Source organism: Homo sapiens, chromosome 10 (genome assembly GCF_000001405.40).
Source record: "Homo sapiens chromosome 10, GRCh38.p14 Primary Assembly".
NCBI classification, from domain to species: Eukaryota; Metazoa; Chordata; class Mammalia; order Primates; family Hominidae; genus Homo; species Homo sapiens.
In genome coordinates, this window is record NC_000010.11 from 47,970,721 (window position 1) to 47,987,313 (window position 16,593).

Sequence of the window (16,593 nt, forward strand, 5' to 3'; positions counted from 1 at the left end):
AGTGTGTTTTTCATTTTTCAAACCTTTTCACAGGCCCTGAAAAAACCCAAAGGCCTTATATTCTGGGACCGTAATGGACAAAACAGCCCTGGGAAGTATGCTTGGGAGGATGGCGAAGGCTGGGTTTGCTGAGGGAGGTGCCAGCTAAGGTGCTGGGCACACCAGAGGCAAGGGATCTGGACCACAACTGTCAGTTTGATGAACACACTAATGGTGGAGTGACCCCCACCAGGAGTGGCCAGCAAGCAGGGTCCAACAGGAAAGACATCTGGGAGGCCAGCAGGTGGAATCCTGGCTCTGCCACCTTCGTGCTATGTGATATCAGCCAAGTTACTTGCCCTCTCTGATTCTCAAATGCTCGGAGGCCCTTTGACCTCTAGAGTCTATGGGACCTGAGTGACCACAGGGCTCTGGTTTGTTGGTGGCTGCCTCTTTATTTAACTCCTTTTCTCAAATACGGTCTATGGGCTTTGCTTAAAGTGAGGTGTCCTGTGCACACTCTTCTCCATGACTTTGAGGCCGTGAGAAGGCCCGCCCTGCAGAAGGACTGAGGAAACTAGTGCTGGAGTCTCCTTTCTTGTATCAGTGAAGGAAGGGGAGAGAGGAGATAAAGTGCTCAGGTTACAGAATGTGAGGATCGTGCCCCTTTTTTCCAACTGAAGACATTCCTAGGCGTTTTATCTCCCCTGTTGCAACTCCTAAATCACAAAAACCTTATGCATCCAGTTTGGCTGACATCCACCTGCAATGGGAATGAGTGAGATTGAGCCACTCCTCAGGTGAATGGAAAATTAAGGCCAACCAAGGCCCACCCCATGCCCCACTGTGGGGTCTAAAAGGAGCAGGCACTGGCCTGCTTTCTTTTTCCCTAAAGAAAGCTCTTTGGGGACCCAGCAGAAACAGCAGAGGTGGGGATGCGAGCTTCCGCCTGCATTTGTTCCAGGGTGGGCCAGTGAGGATTTGGGAGGAATGGTGTGGAAAGGCCCTGCCCAAGAAGGCTGGATGCTGGCTGGGGAATGCCCAGGGTGCCAGCTCCCTACCCTGGGGAAAGGCCAGGCTGGCATATGCCGGAGCCAGGGTCCAAGGTCACAGAGAGGCCACACCTGGGCACCCCTCCCAGCAAGGGAAGGTCCAAGCTGGGAATTACTTCTCTTTGGAAAGTGAGGGGAGTGGTACAGAAATATTGCTATTGTTGCTGTTGTCCTGTCACTTCTGGCATTGGAAATGGTGTTGAGCTTCTACGTGACGGGCATTGGAGGTCAAACCTGAAACAGGTGAGGCCCATCCCTTTACTAGGCTCACGTTCTAGGTAGGGAGGAGGCAGGTACCTCCTCCACCTAAGAAACAACAAGAGATAGAGAATGCAGTAACTGTCCTAAAGAGAAAAACCAGGGGATGGAGAGAGAATAATGGTTGTCAGGACGGGTCAGACTTTAGGATGGTAAATGAGGAGTGGTCTCTGAGAAGGGATGAGGCAGAGGAAGTGAGGCTCAGGGAAGTGAAGCACTTGCCCAAGGCAGCCTGCTGGTCATGGCAGAGCTGGCAAGCTCATTCCTTCCTCATTATGTCAACCTTCTGGGACCAGAGTCTGGGCAGGGCAGAAACTACTGCACCAGGGGTGCGTGGCTCCAGCAGAGAGAGACAAAGTGCCCCATGCAATCCAGAAACTGAGCCCTCTGGGCTCAATCTTCAAAGGAATGACTCTCAGAGTTGTGTCCCCTGCCTTTTCTTCACCATGGAACTTTTCCCAGCTCCACTCTGGTGGGCTTGGGGACAGGACCTGCCCTCTGCAAAGTGATGACCAAGGATAAGTCGGATCTTCAAGGAGACCTTGGAGAACACCACCCTCTTATTGTGCAAAAGAGGAAACAGGTCCAGAGAGGGTGAGCCATTTTTTCAGCATCACACAGCTGACCTGGAGCAGAGTTTCCTAAAAGCTCCCTCGGTGCTCTTTCCCCTGCTGTGGCTAGACCCCTCCACAGGAACTTAACAGGAACCCAAAGGAACGAGTCACTCATGGCAGAATCACTAATGTGATGGAGGGCAGGAGTGAGAGACGGCATAATGTCAATGCTGGCACACTCCTGGCACACGGGAAGCTGTCCATGAGTGGTTGCTTCCCACCACTTCCATCGCCCAGTTTGGGACATGTCTGAGATCCAGTGCTGAGCCCAGGGTCTAGCATGTCATGGGAGCTCAGGAGTTCCTAATTGACTACATGAATGCTAAGGTGTGGGATGTGCTCCTTCCTGCTTTCTCATTCTCAAAGAACACTCTTATACACCTGGTTGTGGGGAGGGTATATAGGCAATCAACTTTTGCGTACTCACTTCCATTGTAGGATCATGCATGCATGTGGACGTGCACACACACACAAACACAAATGCACACACACACACACACACCTGCCTTCTCAAACTTGTGGGACCAGAAAGGATGCTGCAAGGCCTAAGATAATAATTGCTGGTCTCTTTTTTCTTATGCTTTAGCAGGAAAAACACACTCTTCCAAGCACACAGCTGCAGAGGTCTTCCTGAGCATCATGTAGTCTTTAATCATGTTGTGGAGGACAGGATGATCTGTGCCTCAGGAATCAGCTTAGTTGATAACTCAATTCCATGGCTGGGCCCCATTTGTAAGCAGTCATGGCACATCCCATGGAAACCTATAATCTAATTATGGCTGCTGCATCAGTCCTCATCCTTCATGCTGTCATCCACAGCTCCTCACCACCCATCTTACTTGGATGAAGGCTCTCTGAGGTATGAAGGGCAAACATCTGATCCTTCCACTGGAGGCCTAGGCTGCTTTCCTTATTCTCACAGCAGCCACAAGTATTGGGATCACAGCTTGAAAGGCTCTTCTTGGTCCGTGGGACTGAGGCAGTCAGGACAATTTCAGGCCTTTAGTGAATGGAGGCATTTCATTACTTCAGATCTCACCTAGTCTTGGAGGTCTTGGGCATTTTTAGAACTCACCCAGCCAGGCTGCCACTCAGGGTGAGGCTACCTGGATTGTTTATTGGTAACGAATGTTTGAATCAGAGACCGTTAGAAAACCAAAAATGAAGATTTTAACAATACAAAAAGCAGAACCTAAAGAGGTTTAATCAGTAGGATTGGTACCAGTTCTTTGTATGTCTGATAGAATTTAGCTGTGAATCCATCTAGTCCAGGGCTTTTTGTTGTTGTCGTTGGTAGGTTTTTTATTATTGGTTTAATTTCAGAGCTTGATATTGGTCTAGTCAGGGTATCAGTCTCTTCCTGATTCAATCTTGGGAGATTGTATGTTCCCAGGAATTTATCCATTTCCTCTAGATTTTCTAATTTGTGTGCATAGAATTACTCACAGTATTTTCTGAGGATCTTTTGTATTTCTGCATGTATCAGTATGCCATACTGTTCAAGCACATGGACTTTGCAGTTGGACATTCCTGAGTACAAATTCTGCTTCTGGCAGAGCATTTAGGTGACTTAGTCTGCTGACTAAGCTGCAGTATCTTCATCTGCAAATGAAGATGAATTGTAATATCTTTGTCATTTCTGACAGTACTTATTTGGAAATTCTTTTTTCTTTGTTAATCTAGCTAGTGGTCTCTCAGTCTTGTTTATTTTTTTGAAAATCAACTTTTGGTTTCATTTATCTTTTGTATGGATTTTTGCATCTCAATTTCATTAAGTTCTTCTTTAATTTTAGTTATTTATTTTCTTCTGCTAGCTTTGGGGTTGGTTTGCTCTTTTTCTCTAGTTCTTCTAGGTGCAAACTTAGACTGTTAATTTGAGATTGTTTTAACTTCTTGGTGAAGGCATTTAACGTTATAAACTTTCCTCTTAACACTGCTTTGGCTGTATCCCAGAGACTTTGTTAAGTTGTATCTCCATTTTCATTACTTTCAAAGATTTTTTTATTTCTGCCTTAATTTTGATTTTCACCTAGGAGTTAATCAGGAAAAAGTTGTTTAATATCCATGTATTTGTGTAGTTTTGAGAGATCTTCTTGATATTAGTTTCTATTTTTATCGCACTGTGGTCCAAGAGTGTGTTTGGTATAATTTCAATTTTTTAAAATTTATTGAGACTTGCTTTATGACTCAGCATATGGTTGATCTGAGAATATGTTCTGTGTACAGATAGGAAGAATGTATATTCTGTGGTTGTTGGGTGGAGTGAATGTCTATGAGGCCCTTGTAGATAAAATAATAGCTGAAATTAGAAAAAGAGGTTTAACCAGCTTTACTCATTTAAAATGCAAATGTGCTATTAGATAAGGGCCACATCACTTGGCATCAGGCCATAAGACAAGATGTGTCTGGATTATCCTGGGATTAATACTCATTTCCAAACTTCTAGGACTATTGAGAGTTGTTTTTTTTTTCTAGAAATCTCTGATGGACTACATTTGTTCCATAGTTCAGCCTCATCATCTTATGAACTATTTAGATAAGGGATAGAAAGTATCTTTTGAATTCATGTCAGCACCAATAGATTGGTGGTGGCTGCTTTAAAAACTGGGCCTAGAAGGATTCTGAATTCTTAACTGGGCTTAGAGCGAAAGAATGCCATGTTCAAAGAAGAAAGTTATCAATGGCTGCAGGAGGGGTGAGGTGGCCCATGTGTCACATGACTTGCTATCTTTGCACTGGGCAACCCTAACCTCTGAGAGGGTCCTTGTTGAATAAGATAAGTAGGTCCAGCCCTCAAGTTGTTATCAGTATAGCAGAGATGGTGAGCCACGAAGTGCTGCCAGATCACTGTATTGTGTTCTGGTCATGGCAGGTGCATGTATCAGTATGCCATACTGTTCAAGCACATGGACTTTGCAGTTGGCCATTCCTGAGTACAAATTCCGCTTCTGACAGAGCATTTAGGTGACTTAGTCTGCTGACTAAGCTGCAGTATCTTCATCTGCAAATGAAGATAATACCCACCTCACAGGGTAGCTGGGGTCATTAAATGATATCAGATTTCAAAGCATTAGATGCTCACCTTGTAGTAATCATTATTACTATAATTACTGTTGGTGTGGAAACACAGACACGCCTCTAAACTGTCCTGGGTACAGAGAAGGCTCTACAGACAGGCCCTGTTTTAAATTGCAAGTGATACTCAGGCAGTCTTCAGTAAACAAAGGCAGAGGCCATTCAGTGCAGGGGAGGACATTCTGTCCCCTGGTTAGGAAACCTGAACTATGGAATAGAAAAAAACTTAGACTCAATATTCAGAACAACTTTCCTGAAATAAAGGAAGACTTGAATTTTCTGACTGAAGGGTAAATTGATTTAGAGAAGTCAATGCTGAGATGACAGATCCTAACAAAATGAATGTTTGCCTTCAAAGAAAAGAATCCTAGGAGTATCCAGTAGAAAACCATCTCTCCAAAAACCAATCAAGACAACAACAAAAATAAAAACAACTACCCCAAACAATCACATGAAAACTCAAACCAAGAGAAACACTTGCAGAATGTCAGAATAAGGACTTCTGAAAATCCTTCCTTAACAACAATGAGAGCACTGGCAAAAATGTCAAAATTAACATTTTCAGAGTCCTGGAAATTAACCAAAGGCTTTCAGCAATCCAAGTTAGATTTATTCAAGAAACACAGCTGAATCTCAGTAAGAATAGCAAATTTTGTGGTGTTTTAATTTGCCTTATTCGTAGTCTTCTTTTCCAAGCTCTATGATAGACTTGAACATAAATGTTCTCAGCTAGGCATGGTGGCTCACTCCTATAATCCTAGCACTTTGGGAGGCTGAGATGGGAGGATTGCTTAAGTCCATGAGTTTGAGACCAGTCTGGACAACACAGAGACAACCTCTGTCTTTACACACACACACACACACACACACACACAATTAACATTCTCACAACCATGACAGCTGTGAAAACCAGCAGCCTGGTAGCCACTGGGGAGGACAGAATAGGTTTAGAGCTCTCCAAAAATCCCATCCTCAGAAAGTTGTTACTATTTGATCTGTCTGACAGCTCCCTGGAAAAGGCACATTCCCAGGGATTGTCTTTGCTTAACATGGTTTGGAGCTTAGTCTGTGTGAACAGCCCTATCCTGAGGGAATCTGTCAAAAACAATCAGCAAAAATTGTTTGACATTGCAACTGCCTGAGATGGCAGTACCAGTTGGGGCTAATAAGAGGCTGACCAAAACAGTTACAAGGAAAAACTGGGGAATGAGGTATTCATAGAGGCTTTGGAAAAACTCTGACATATTCTTAAGAACCTAGAAGGCCATGTGCACGTGCAGGGTTGTACACATGTCCAAGACAGATCTAACTAGAGCTTAACTTTTGTTTGGCTTTGAGGCTCTGTGCAAGCAGGAAGTAAACTCTGAGGCAGAGTTGTCAGCTGCTTGCTGAAGCATCGAAGGCATGGCTCAACACAAACAAAGCTTCCCAGCAAAGGTAGGTAGATTTAGTTGTGCAAGGAATGTAAAGAAATCTCTGTCCAAAAATTAATGGACAACTAAACTGAGGAAAGACTTCGGTGGCTACACATGACAAAAAGTATACATTAAAACTTAGTCCAGGAAATTCACGAAACAGAGAAACAGCAGCATCGGCAACAACAACAAACAGAAGCAACAACAAATTGTGAAGAGGGGTGAGGTCTGATTTTTGGAGATGCCACATTATTTTATTTAAAACATTCAGTTTTTAAGAAAAAAATATGAGAAATACAAAGAAACAAAATGTGTGACCTATTCACAGGGAAAAAGCTGCCATTAGAAACTTTTTCTTGAGGAAGCCCAGACATTGGACTTACTATCAAAGATTTTAGAACACGTCTTAAAAACATGTTTAAACAACTAAAGGAAAACATGTTTAAAGAATGTTAAAAAGCATGACAATGATGTCTTACCAAATACAGCATATCAATAAAGAGATAGAAAATTATATAAAAAAGGGAAAAAAATAAAATTCTGGGTTGAAAGTGCAACTGAAATAAAAAATTATTAACCAGAGGGGCTTAACAGCCAATTTGAGCAGGCAGAAAAAAGATTCAGTAAGTTGAATATGGGTCAATTGAGATTATACAATCCAGGGAACAGAAAGTCAAAAGAATGAAGAAAAATGAACAGAGCCTCAGAGAGCATACCAATATGTATATAATGAGAATCCCAAAAGAAGAGGAGATAAAGGGGCAGAAAGAATATTTGAAGAAATAATTGCCATAAACTTCCCAAATTTGATGAAGAACATTAATTTACATGCTCAAGAAATTCAACGAACTACAAGTGGTATAAAAACAAAGAAATCCATACCTAGATACATCAGAGTCAAACTATCAAAAGCCAATGACAAAAAGAGAATCTCGAAAGCTACAAAAGAAAAATAACTCAGCATATACACTCTAGCTTCAAATTCCTCAATAAGATTAACAACTGACTTCTTATCAAAACCATTCAGGCAAGAAGGCAATGGGATAACATATTAAAAGTATTGTAAGAAAATGACTGTCAACCAAGAATTCTATATCTAGCAAAGGTATCTTTGAAAAAAAAGAAGAAATGTCCAGATAAATGAAAAATGAGAGAGTTCATCATGAGTAGATCTTCCCTACAAGAAATACTAAAAGGAGTCTCTCAGGCTGAAATGAAAGGACACTAGATGGTAACTTCATCCACACAAAGAAATAAAGAGCACTGCAGGGTAATTACATAATTAAAAAGACAGTATAATGTATTTTTAATTGTAATTCTTTTCTTATCCTATCTGATTTAAAAATAGCTACATAAATGAGTAATTATAAAACTGGGTTGTTGGGCTTATAATGTATAAAGATGTAATTTGTACGATAATATTAACACAAAGGAAGGGGGCAGGAAATGGACCTATATTGAAGCAATCTTTAAATATATTGTTGAAATTAAGTTGGATTGATATGGATTAGATTGTTTTATGATAAAATGTTATAATCCCCAGGGCAAGAATAAGAAAATAACTAAAAATATATGGTAAAACAAACAAAAGAATTAAAATGATATGCTAGAAAATATCAATTGAATTCAAAAGAAGACAGTAATGAGGGAAAAGAAAAACAAAAAAGATGTAGGACATATAAAAATAGCAAAATGGAAGGTGTAGAGCCTATCTTTTCAGTAAATCATATTAAATGTAAATAGAGTAAACATACCAATCAAAATGCAGAGGTTGTGATTTTAAAAAATGAATCAACTGTTATCTATAAGAGACATACTTTACATTCAAAGACACAAATAGGTTGAAAGTAATAGGATGGAAAAAGATAATCCATGAAAGTAGTAACCAAAGGGGAGCTGGAGTGGCTAGTTATACTAACAGTAGACCAAATAGACTCTTAAGACAAAAATTATTACAAGAGACAAAGAAAAACATTTTATAATTGTAAAAGTTTCAATCTATTAAGAAGACATGGCAATTAAGAATATATATGCACTTAATAGCAGAGATCCAAATACATGAAGCAAAAACTGAAGTGAGAAATAGAAAATTCAACAATTATAGTTGGAAACATCATTACTCCACTTTCAACAATGGATAGAACAACTAGGCAGAAGATCCACAAGGATATAGAAGATCTGAAAAAAACAGTAAACCCACTAGAGCTGGTAGTTACCCACAGAACACTCCACCACCACCAACAGAATAGACATTCTTTATATGTGTATATGGAATGTTCTCAAGAATAAATCTTGTCATGAGAAGAATAGTGGCCCCCAAAGATATCCATGCCCTAATCCCTGGAACCACGTTACATTACATGACAAAAGGGGCTTTGCAGATATGATTAAGGGTATAAACCTTGAGATGCAGAGATTACCCTGGATTGTTTGGGTGGGCCCAATCAAAATACATGAGTTCTTAAAAGTGGAGACACTTTCCTAACCATGGTAGGGAGATGAAATGGAAGGAGGAGGAGACAATTGAGGTGTGAGAAAGGTTTAAGTGACTACTAAACTGATGGACTTGATCCACCATTGCTGCCTTTGAGGATGGAGGAAGGGGACTATTAATAAGGGAATGTGGGTAGCTTCTAGAAGCTGGGAACAGTTCAGCTGACAGCCAGCAAGGAAGTGGGAATCTCAGTCCTACAACTTGCAGGAACTGAATTCTGCCAACAACTCGAATGAACAAGGGAACTCTCCGAGAATTTCCACAAAGGAATACAACCACACAGATTCCTATTTTTAGCCCAGTAAGACATGTCAGACTTCTGATCTTCAGAACCACAAGATAATAAATTTGTGTTAGGTGCAAATTTGTGGTAATTTGTTATGGCAGCAATAGAAAACACATACATGTATATTCATCCATAAAACAAAATGCAGTAAATTTAAAATAATTGAAATCATATAGAATATGTTCTCTAACAATAGCAGAGTGAAATTCAAAACCAAAAACAGAAAGAAATTTCGGACATCCACAAATATGTAGAAATTAAATGACACACTCCAAAATAATCAATGGGTCAAAGAAGAAATCACAATGAAAATTAGAAAATTATTTGAAATGAATGAAAATAAAATCACAACATATCAAAGTGTATGGGATGCAGTCAAAGCAATACTTAGGGAGACTTTTATAGCTGTAAATGCCTATATTAAAAAGAAGAAAGATCTCGATAACCCAGACTTCCACCTTAAGAAAGTAGAAAAGGAAGCGCAAACTAAGCCCAAAGCAAGCAGAAAGAAGAAAATAATAAAGATTGTAGTGGAAATAAATAAAACGGAATAGAAAAAACACTAAGGGAAAAAACAAGAGTAATTGCTTCACTGAAAAGAGCAATAAAATTAGTAAACCTTTAGCTTGACTGAGAAGAAAAAAGTTATGTGCCCTATTTCATTCCCTATACATTAAATTATTAAATTATTAATGTATAGGGAATTAAATTATTAAATTAATAATGTTTAGAGAATGAAATAGGGCACACCACTACCACCTCATAGAAATAAAAGGATTATAAAGGAATACTATAAACAATTGTAAGACAGCAAAATTTTAACTTAGGTGAAATGGAAAAATTCCTAGAAAGACAGGAACTACAAAAACTGAATCAAGAACAAATAGAAAATTTCAATAGACCTTAGTAAGTAAAGGGATTAAATTAGTAATTAAGAAACTCACCATGCACAAAAAAGCTCAGTACCAAATGGTTTCGCTGATTAGTTTTCCCAAACATTTAAAAAAGATTATTGTCAATTCTTCACAATCTTTTCCAAAAATAGAAGAAACAAACTTCAACTCATTCTATGATGTCATTATTCTCATGATACCAAAACAAAAGACATTCTAAGAGAACACAGCAATATCTTTCATGAATATTAATACAAAAATTATCAACAAAATACTAGCACACTAAACCCAGAAACATATAAAAATGATTATGTATCACAATCAAGTGACATTTATTTCAGGAATGCAAAGTTGGTTTAACATAATAAAATAAATCTAATTAATACACCACATTAATAAAATGAAGGACAAAATCCACCTAATCTCAATAGATGCAGAAAAAACATTTGACAAAATCAATATCCTTTCATGATAAAACACTCATAAAACTAGAAATAGAGGAGAATTTATGAAATCTAATAAAGAACATCTATGAAAAACCACAACTGACATCATCCCAAAGGGTGAAAGAGTGGATACTTTCCTTCTAAGACCAGTAAGAAGGAAAGGAAGTCCATGCTCACCACTTCTATTCAACATTGTATTAGAGATCTGAGCTAGGGCAATTATGCAAATAAGTATGTAAATTTAAAAAATAGCATCCAAATTGAAAAGAAAGATGTAAACTATATTTACAGATGACATAATCTAAGGAATTCACAAAATAACTATTACGACTAATAAATGAGTTCAGCAAGATTGCAGATACAAGAACAATATGAAAAACAATTGTATTTCTACACACTAGCAATGAATAATCTGAATATAAGATTAAGAACAGAATTCCATTTACAATGGCATCAGACAAAATAAAAGGCTTATGAATAAATTCAACAAATAAGTCTAAGACTTGTACGTACTGAAAACAATAAAACACCACTGAAGGAAATTAAAGAAGACCTAAATAAATGAAAAAACATCCTATGTTCATGGATTTGGAAGACTTAATATTGTTAAGATGTCAATGTTTCCCAAATTGGTCTACAGATTCAATGCAATCTTGATTGAAAGATTGTGTGCCTTTTTCTCAGAAGTTCACATGCAGATGCAAGAGACCCAGAATAGCCAACATGATCTTGAAAGAGAGAGGACTACACTTCCTGATTTAAAAACTTAATACAGGTTGGGTGCAGTGGCTCACACCTGTAATGCCAGCACTTTGGGAGGCTAAGTTGGGAGGATTGCTTGAGCCCAGAGTTTGAGATTAACCTGGGCAACATAATGAGACCCCATCTCTACAAAAAATAAAAAAAGATTAGCTGGGTGTGGTGGTGTGTGCCTGTAGTCCCAGCAACTTGGGAGGCCGAGGTGGGAGGATCACTTGAGCCCAAGAGGTCTATGATGCAGTGACCTATGATCAAGGCACTGCACTCCAGCCTGGGCAACAGAACAAGACCCTATCTCAAAAACAAAATGAAACAAAACAACCCCCCCAAACCCCAAAGAAAACCAAACTTACTACCAACGTCTAGGAATCAAGATAGCCCAATACTAGAAATGTAATAGAATTGAAAATCCAATATTAAACCTTCACATTTATGGTTAACTGATTTTTGACAAAGGTGTCAAGACAATTCAAGAGGATTAAAAAAAAGCCTTAACAAATGATGCTGGGACAACCGGATTTCCACATGTGAAGGAATGAAGCTGGACACTTACCTTACATCATGTACAAAACTTAACTCAAAATGGACCAAAGTTCTAAATGTAAGAGCTAAAACTATAAAACCATAGAGGCAAATGTTCATGACCTTGGATTGGTAAAAGGATTATTAGATATAATACCAAAAGCAGAAGTGACCAAACAAAAAAAAATAAGCGGGGCATTATCAAAATTGACAGCTTTTGTGCTTCAAAGGACACCATCAAGAAAGTCAAAAAGCAACCCACAGAATGGGAAGAAGTATTTGCAAATCATATATATATATATATATATATATATATATATAAAATTTGATAAGCCACTTGTATCCAGAATATATGAAGAACTCTAACAATTCAGCAATAAAAGACAATAACCTAATTAAAACATGGGCAAATGATTTGAATAAATATTTGTCCAAAGAAGATATACTCATGATCAAAAAGCACCTGAAAAGATGCTTGACATTATTAGTCATTAGGAAAGCGCAAATAGAACCGCAATAAGATACAACTACACACCCATTAGGATGGCTTTCATAGAAAAAGACAGGCAATAAGAAGTGTTGGTGAAGATGCAGAGAAATTGAAAACCCCATTCATTGCTGGTGTGAACATAAGATGGTGCTGTCACTTTGGAAAACAGTTTGGTAGTTCCTCAAAAAGTTGGGTGTAGTATTATCATATGACCAAGGAATTCCACTCCTAGATACATACCCAAGAGAACTGAAAACCTATATCCACACAATATCTTGCACAAGTGTTTTCAAAGCAGCATTATTCATAACACCCGAAAAGTAGAAACAATCCAAATGTCCGTCAACGAATGGGTAAACAACTGTGGTATTCCTTTCCAGTGGTAAGAGACAGAATTGATTAGGGAAATGAGGCAGATTCACTAAACTCCACTGAAGGACGGACCTGAGCCAACAGTTCACAGGAAAATGACACAAAAGGCCTTTAAATATATAAAAAGCATCATGTTTAAAGCTTCACTTGTCATCATGGGAAGTCAAACTAAAACACTGAATTACTATACTTTGTCCACCAGATGAGTGAGGATCAAATTTTGAAGATGTACTGTCTTAGTAAGAGGTTTAGGAAATTGGTATTTTCCTTCTGTACTGATGAGAATGGGGACTTCTTGACAAAATCTATCTTAAGTACAATTCCACATGCCCTTTGATCTAAACACAATATTTTAGGAGTCTATCCTATGATGATACAAAGTAATATAAGAATGTTTATTGCAATAACTTCCAATAACAAGCTACCGAAACCAGCCTAAACAACCAAAAACAGATTAAATGAGTAGAGATTGGTTAAATAAATTATGGTACATTCACAATGAAATCTTACACTGCTGTTAAAAAGTATTAATTTTTCCTAAAGATATATTAAATACATATAATTAAAAATAGAAAGAAGACTAGCATTAGACAAAAGCTAGAGAAGTAGGGAAAGTACATATATTTTTGCGTATTCCTAGAGAATTTCTAGAAGCATATACAGGAAACTTAACAATCGTGAGAGAGTTTGGAGAGGACTTTGGCTGGGGGTTCTGGAGTGGTGCAGAGATTTATTTTCACCACTTACTCTTTTGTACTACTTGATTTTCTAGAAGCATATGCAAGATGAATTTCTAGAAGCATATACAAGAAACTTAATAACTGTGAGAGAGTTTGGAGAGGACTTTGGCTGGGGTCTCTAGAGTGGTGCAGAGATTTATTTTCACCATTTACTCTTTTGTACTACTTGATTTTTATCAAGTGCGTGCATTACTTTTTTGCCTTTTAGGTTTTTATTTTATGCATGTTTAGACTTTTAAATTTTCAAATAATCATAGATTGACAAGAATTTGTGAAGGGGTCCCAATATCCTTCACCCAGTTTCTCCACTGTTTACGTTTTACATTCTACAAAACAATATCAAAACAAAGAAACTGACATTAGCACAATGTGTGTTCTTCTATTACATTGTATCACATGTGTAGATTCCTGTAACCACCAAGACACAAAACTATCCCATCATCCCAAGATCTCTCCTGCTACCTCTTTGTAGTCACACTTCCCCACCACCGCCTCTAACGCCTGCCAACCACTAATCTGTTTTCACTGTTTATAATTTTGCCCCTGGAAGAATGTTATACAAGTGAAATCGTACAGTATGTGACTTTTTGAGATTGGTTTTTTTCACTTAGCCTAATGCTCTTGAGATCCATCCATTTAGTTATTTGCATGAATAATTTGTTTCTTTTTATTGCTGAATATTGGCATAGATGTGTCACTTAGTTTAAGCATTCACTTAGTGAGGGACATTTTGGTTCTTTTCTAGTTTCTGGCTATGATAGGAAGACACAGGAGAAAATCATCTGGACCTAGGAGTTGAGGATGAGTTCATAGGCATGGCACCCAAGTACGATTCATTAAAGAAAGAATTGATAAATTGGACTTCATCAAAATTAAAAACTTTGCCTCTGCAAAATATTCTGTTAAGATGATGAAAGGACAAGCTATGGAGGGGAGAAAATATTTGCAAACTGCGTATCTGACAAAGGACTCACATTTACAATGCATAAAGAGCTCTCAAAACTCAACAGTAAAAAAAAAAAATCTGATAAGAAATTGGGCAATAGACATGAAGAGACATTTCATGGCCGAGTCAAATCAGCATGTGGAAATATACTTAACATCATTAGCCTTTGGGGAAATGCAAATTGAGATCATGAGAAATCACTGCACACTTATTTGAGCAGTTGAAATAAAAATATAATGATAAAACCAAATGCTAGCAAGGATGCAGAGAAACCAAATTTCTCATCCCTTGCTTGTGAGAATATAACATGATACACACAGCCACTCCCAAAAATAGATTGACAGTTTCTCAAAAAACATGCACTTACCATATTACTCAACAATCACATTCCTGGGCTTTTATCAGAGAAATTATAATTTAAGTTTGCACAAAAAGCTACACACAAATACTCATAACTGCTCTATTCGTCATGTTTTTATTGGCAGGTAATTTACATACAAAGAAATTCAAAAATCTTAAATTTCACAATTCAATGTGTTTTGTCAAATGCCTGCACTCCTGTCCCTCCCCCACTGTAAGATTTACAACACTCTAGCACCCCCAAAAAGTTATTTCATGCCCCCTTCAGCTAACCTCTACCATGCCACTCCATCCATAAACCCCAAAGCAACTATTAAAAAAAAAAAAAGGCAAAAAACGCAATTACTTTCGCACCAACCTAATACTAGTCTGATTTTTAAATCACAGATTCATTTTCATATAAATGGAATCATACAATGTTTATTCTTTCATACCTGACTTCTTTCATTCAGGAACACGATTCAGAGCTTCTGCTGTGCAGTAGGGGGCATCAATAGTTCATTTTCTTTTTATTGTCTGCTACCATTCCATTGTATGGATTCAACCTAGTCTGTTTATTCATTCTCCTGTGAATGAATATTTGGGTTATTTCCAGTTTTTGTCTTTTATGAATAAAGCTTCTATTTTCATCTTTTCAGAAGTCTATTTGTTAGATATGAGTTTTCACCTCTTTATCCTTGGATAAAAACCTAAGGATGGACTCGCTGGATAATATAATAGGGTATTTGTTTAAATTTACAAGAAACAACCAAACAATTTTCAAAAGTGTTTGCGTTCTTTTCCTTACTCACTAGAAATACATGAGGTGGGCTTGTTTGAAGTTTGTGGATGTGTATGCGCTTCTCATGTGTGTACTGGCATTTGTCTACGTTCCTTTGTGAATAGTTTACCCAAGCCTTTTGCTCATTTTAAAAAACTGAACTTTTTGTTGAGTTATAGGAATTCTTAAATACTCCAGAATCAGGAATCAAGTCACTTTTTTATGTTTTATGCATATTTTCTCCTAGTCTTTTACTTGTCTATTGACTTGTTTCTTACTGATGAAGTTTTTTTCTCACGGCTTAAGTCCAAGGTGTGTCTTTTTCGTCCAGCCAGGTGGCCCCGGCAGGTCGCTCCTCAGGGACCCACATGGGCCAGGGCGGTGCAGCAGTGACCCACAGGGGCCAGTGCAGTTGAAGTGGCTTTGAAACCTGATTGGAGAAACAGACTGCTCAGCTGTTGAGAACACACAGCGCTCCAGAAAACTGGTGTTCAACACAACGCGTCACTCCGGCTTCCACTGCTGCTGCGGAGAGTCAGGTTCTCCGGCAAGGCCCCGCGCGCCCGCCCCCGCGCGCCCGCTTCTCTGTCCAGGGAACGCCTTTCTGCGGGCGGAGGCGGCTACGAGGGGGCGCTGCGAAAGCGGATTTCCAGGCACGCCTGGCGCCACTAAGCGGCGCTGAGACGGCGCTGCCTCCTGACTGCCGGTTGGAGGCTACAGGGGCTCTGGGGCAAGGGCCGCTTTTAGGAGTTTGCTGGTCACGAGGGGGGACGCGACCTCGTCCAAGATCTGTCTGCAAGGGACCCTTCCCAGCTGATGTGAACACAGCCCGGGGAAAGGGGCCGTCCGGGGAGCACAGGCAGCCCGGGAAGAGGAGTAGGGGCTGAAACCAAAGGCAGCCTGGGTACCCAGGTTTTCCCAGGGGACAAGTCCCCCGGTTAGCTGGGCACAGGGAGGCATGGAGAGCGGCAGCAACTGCGTTGGGATGGGGCGGCTGCCCCAGGTTGGGGCGGTGACCCATGTTCCACCAGGCCAGGCGCAGGGCTGAGGTGGCCGACTCCTGTTTCACAAGTGAAGACCTGGTCACCCCAGCAGCAAGGCATTCCGGAGTGGGAGAATTCCTGAGTCCTGG

At 39.2% G+C, this 16,593-nt stretch overlaps 1 protein-coding gene across 1 annotated transcript in view, besides 2 other annotated features; it reads right to left on the reverse strand.

The window, feature by feature from the left end:
* The window catches only part of ANXA8 (annexin A8), a 523,804-nt gene that overhangs the window by 502,728 nt on the left and 4,483 nt on the right, over nucleotides 1–16,593 (reverse strand). The gene's annotated exons all lie outside the window — the stretch shown is intronic.
* Nucleotides 1,003–1,502: an enhancer, noted in NCBI's record as "H3K27ac-H3K4me1 hESC enhancer chr10:47136815-47137314 (GRCh37/hg19 assembly coordinates)". NCBI's record gives its function as "activates a minimal SCP1, AML or CMV promoter by ChIP-STARR-seq in naive H9 embryonic stem cells {active_cell/tissue: H9 hESC(naive)}" and the evidence as "EXISTENCE:reporter gene assay evidence [ECO:0000049][PMID:30033119]".
* Nucleotides 15,796–16,439: an enhancer, noted in NCBI's record as "H3K27ac-H3K4me1 hESC enhancer chr10:47769223-47769865 (GRCh37/hg19 assembly coordinates)". NCBI's record gives its function as "activates a minimal SCP1, AML or CMV promoter by ChIP-STARR-seq in naive H9 embryonic stem cells {active_cell/tissue: H9 hESC(naive)}" and the evidence as "EXISTENCE:reporter gene assay evidence [ECO:0000049][PMID:30033119]".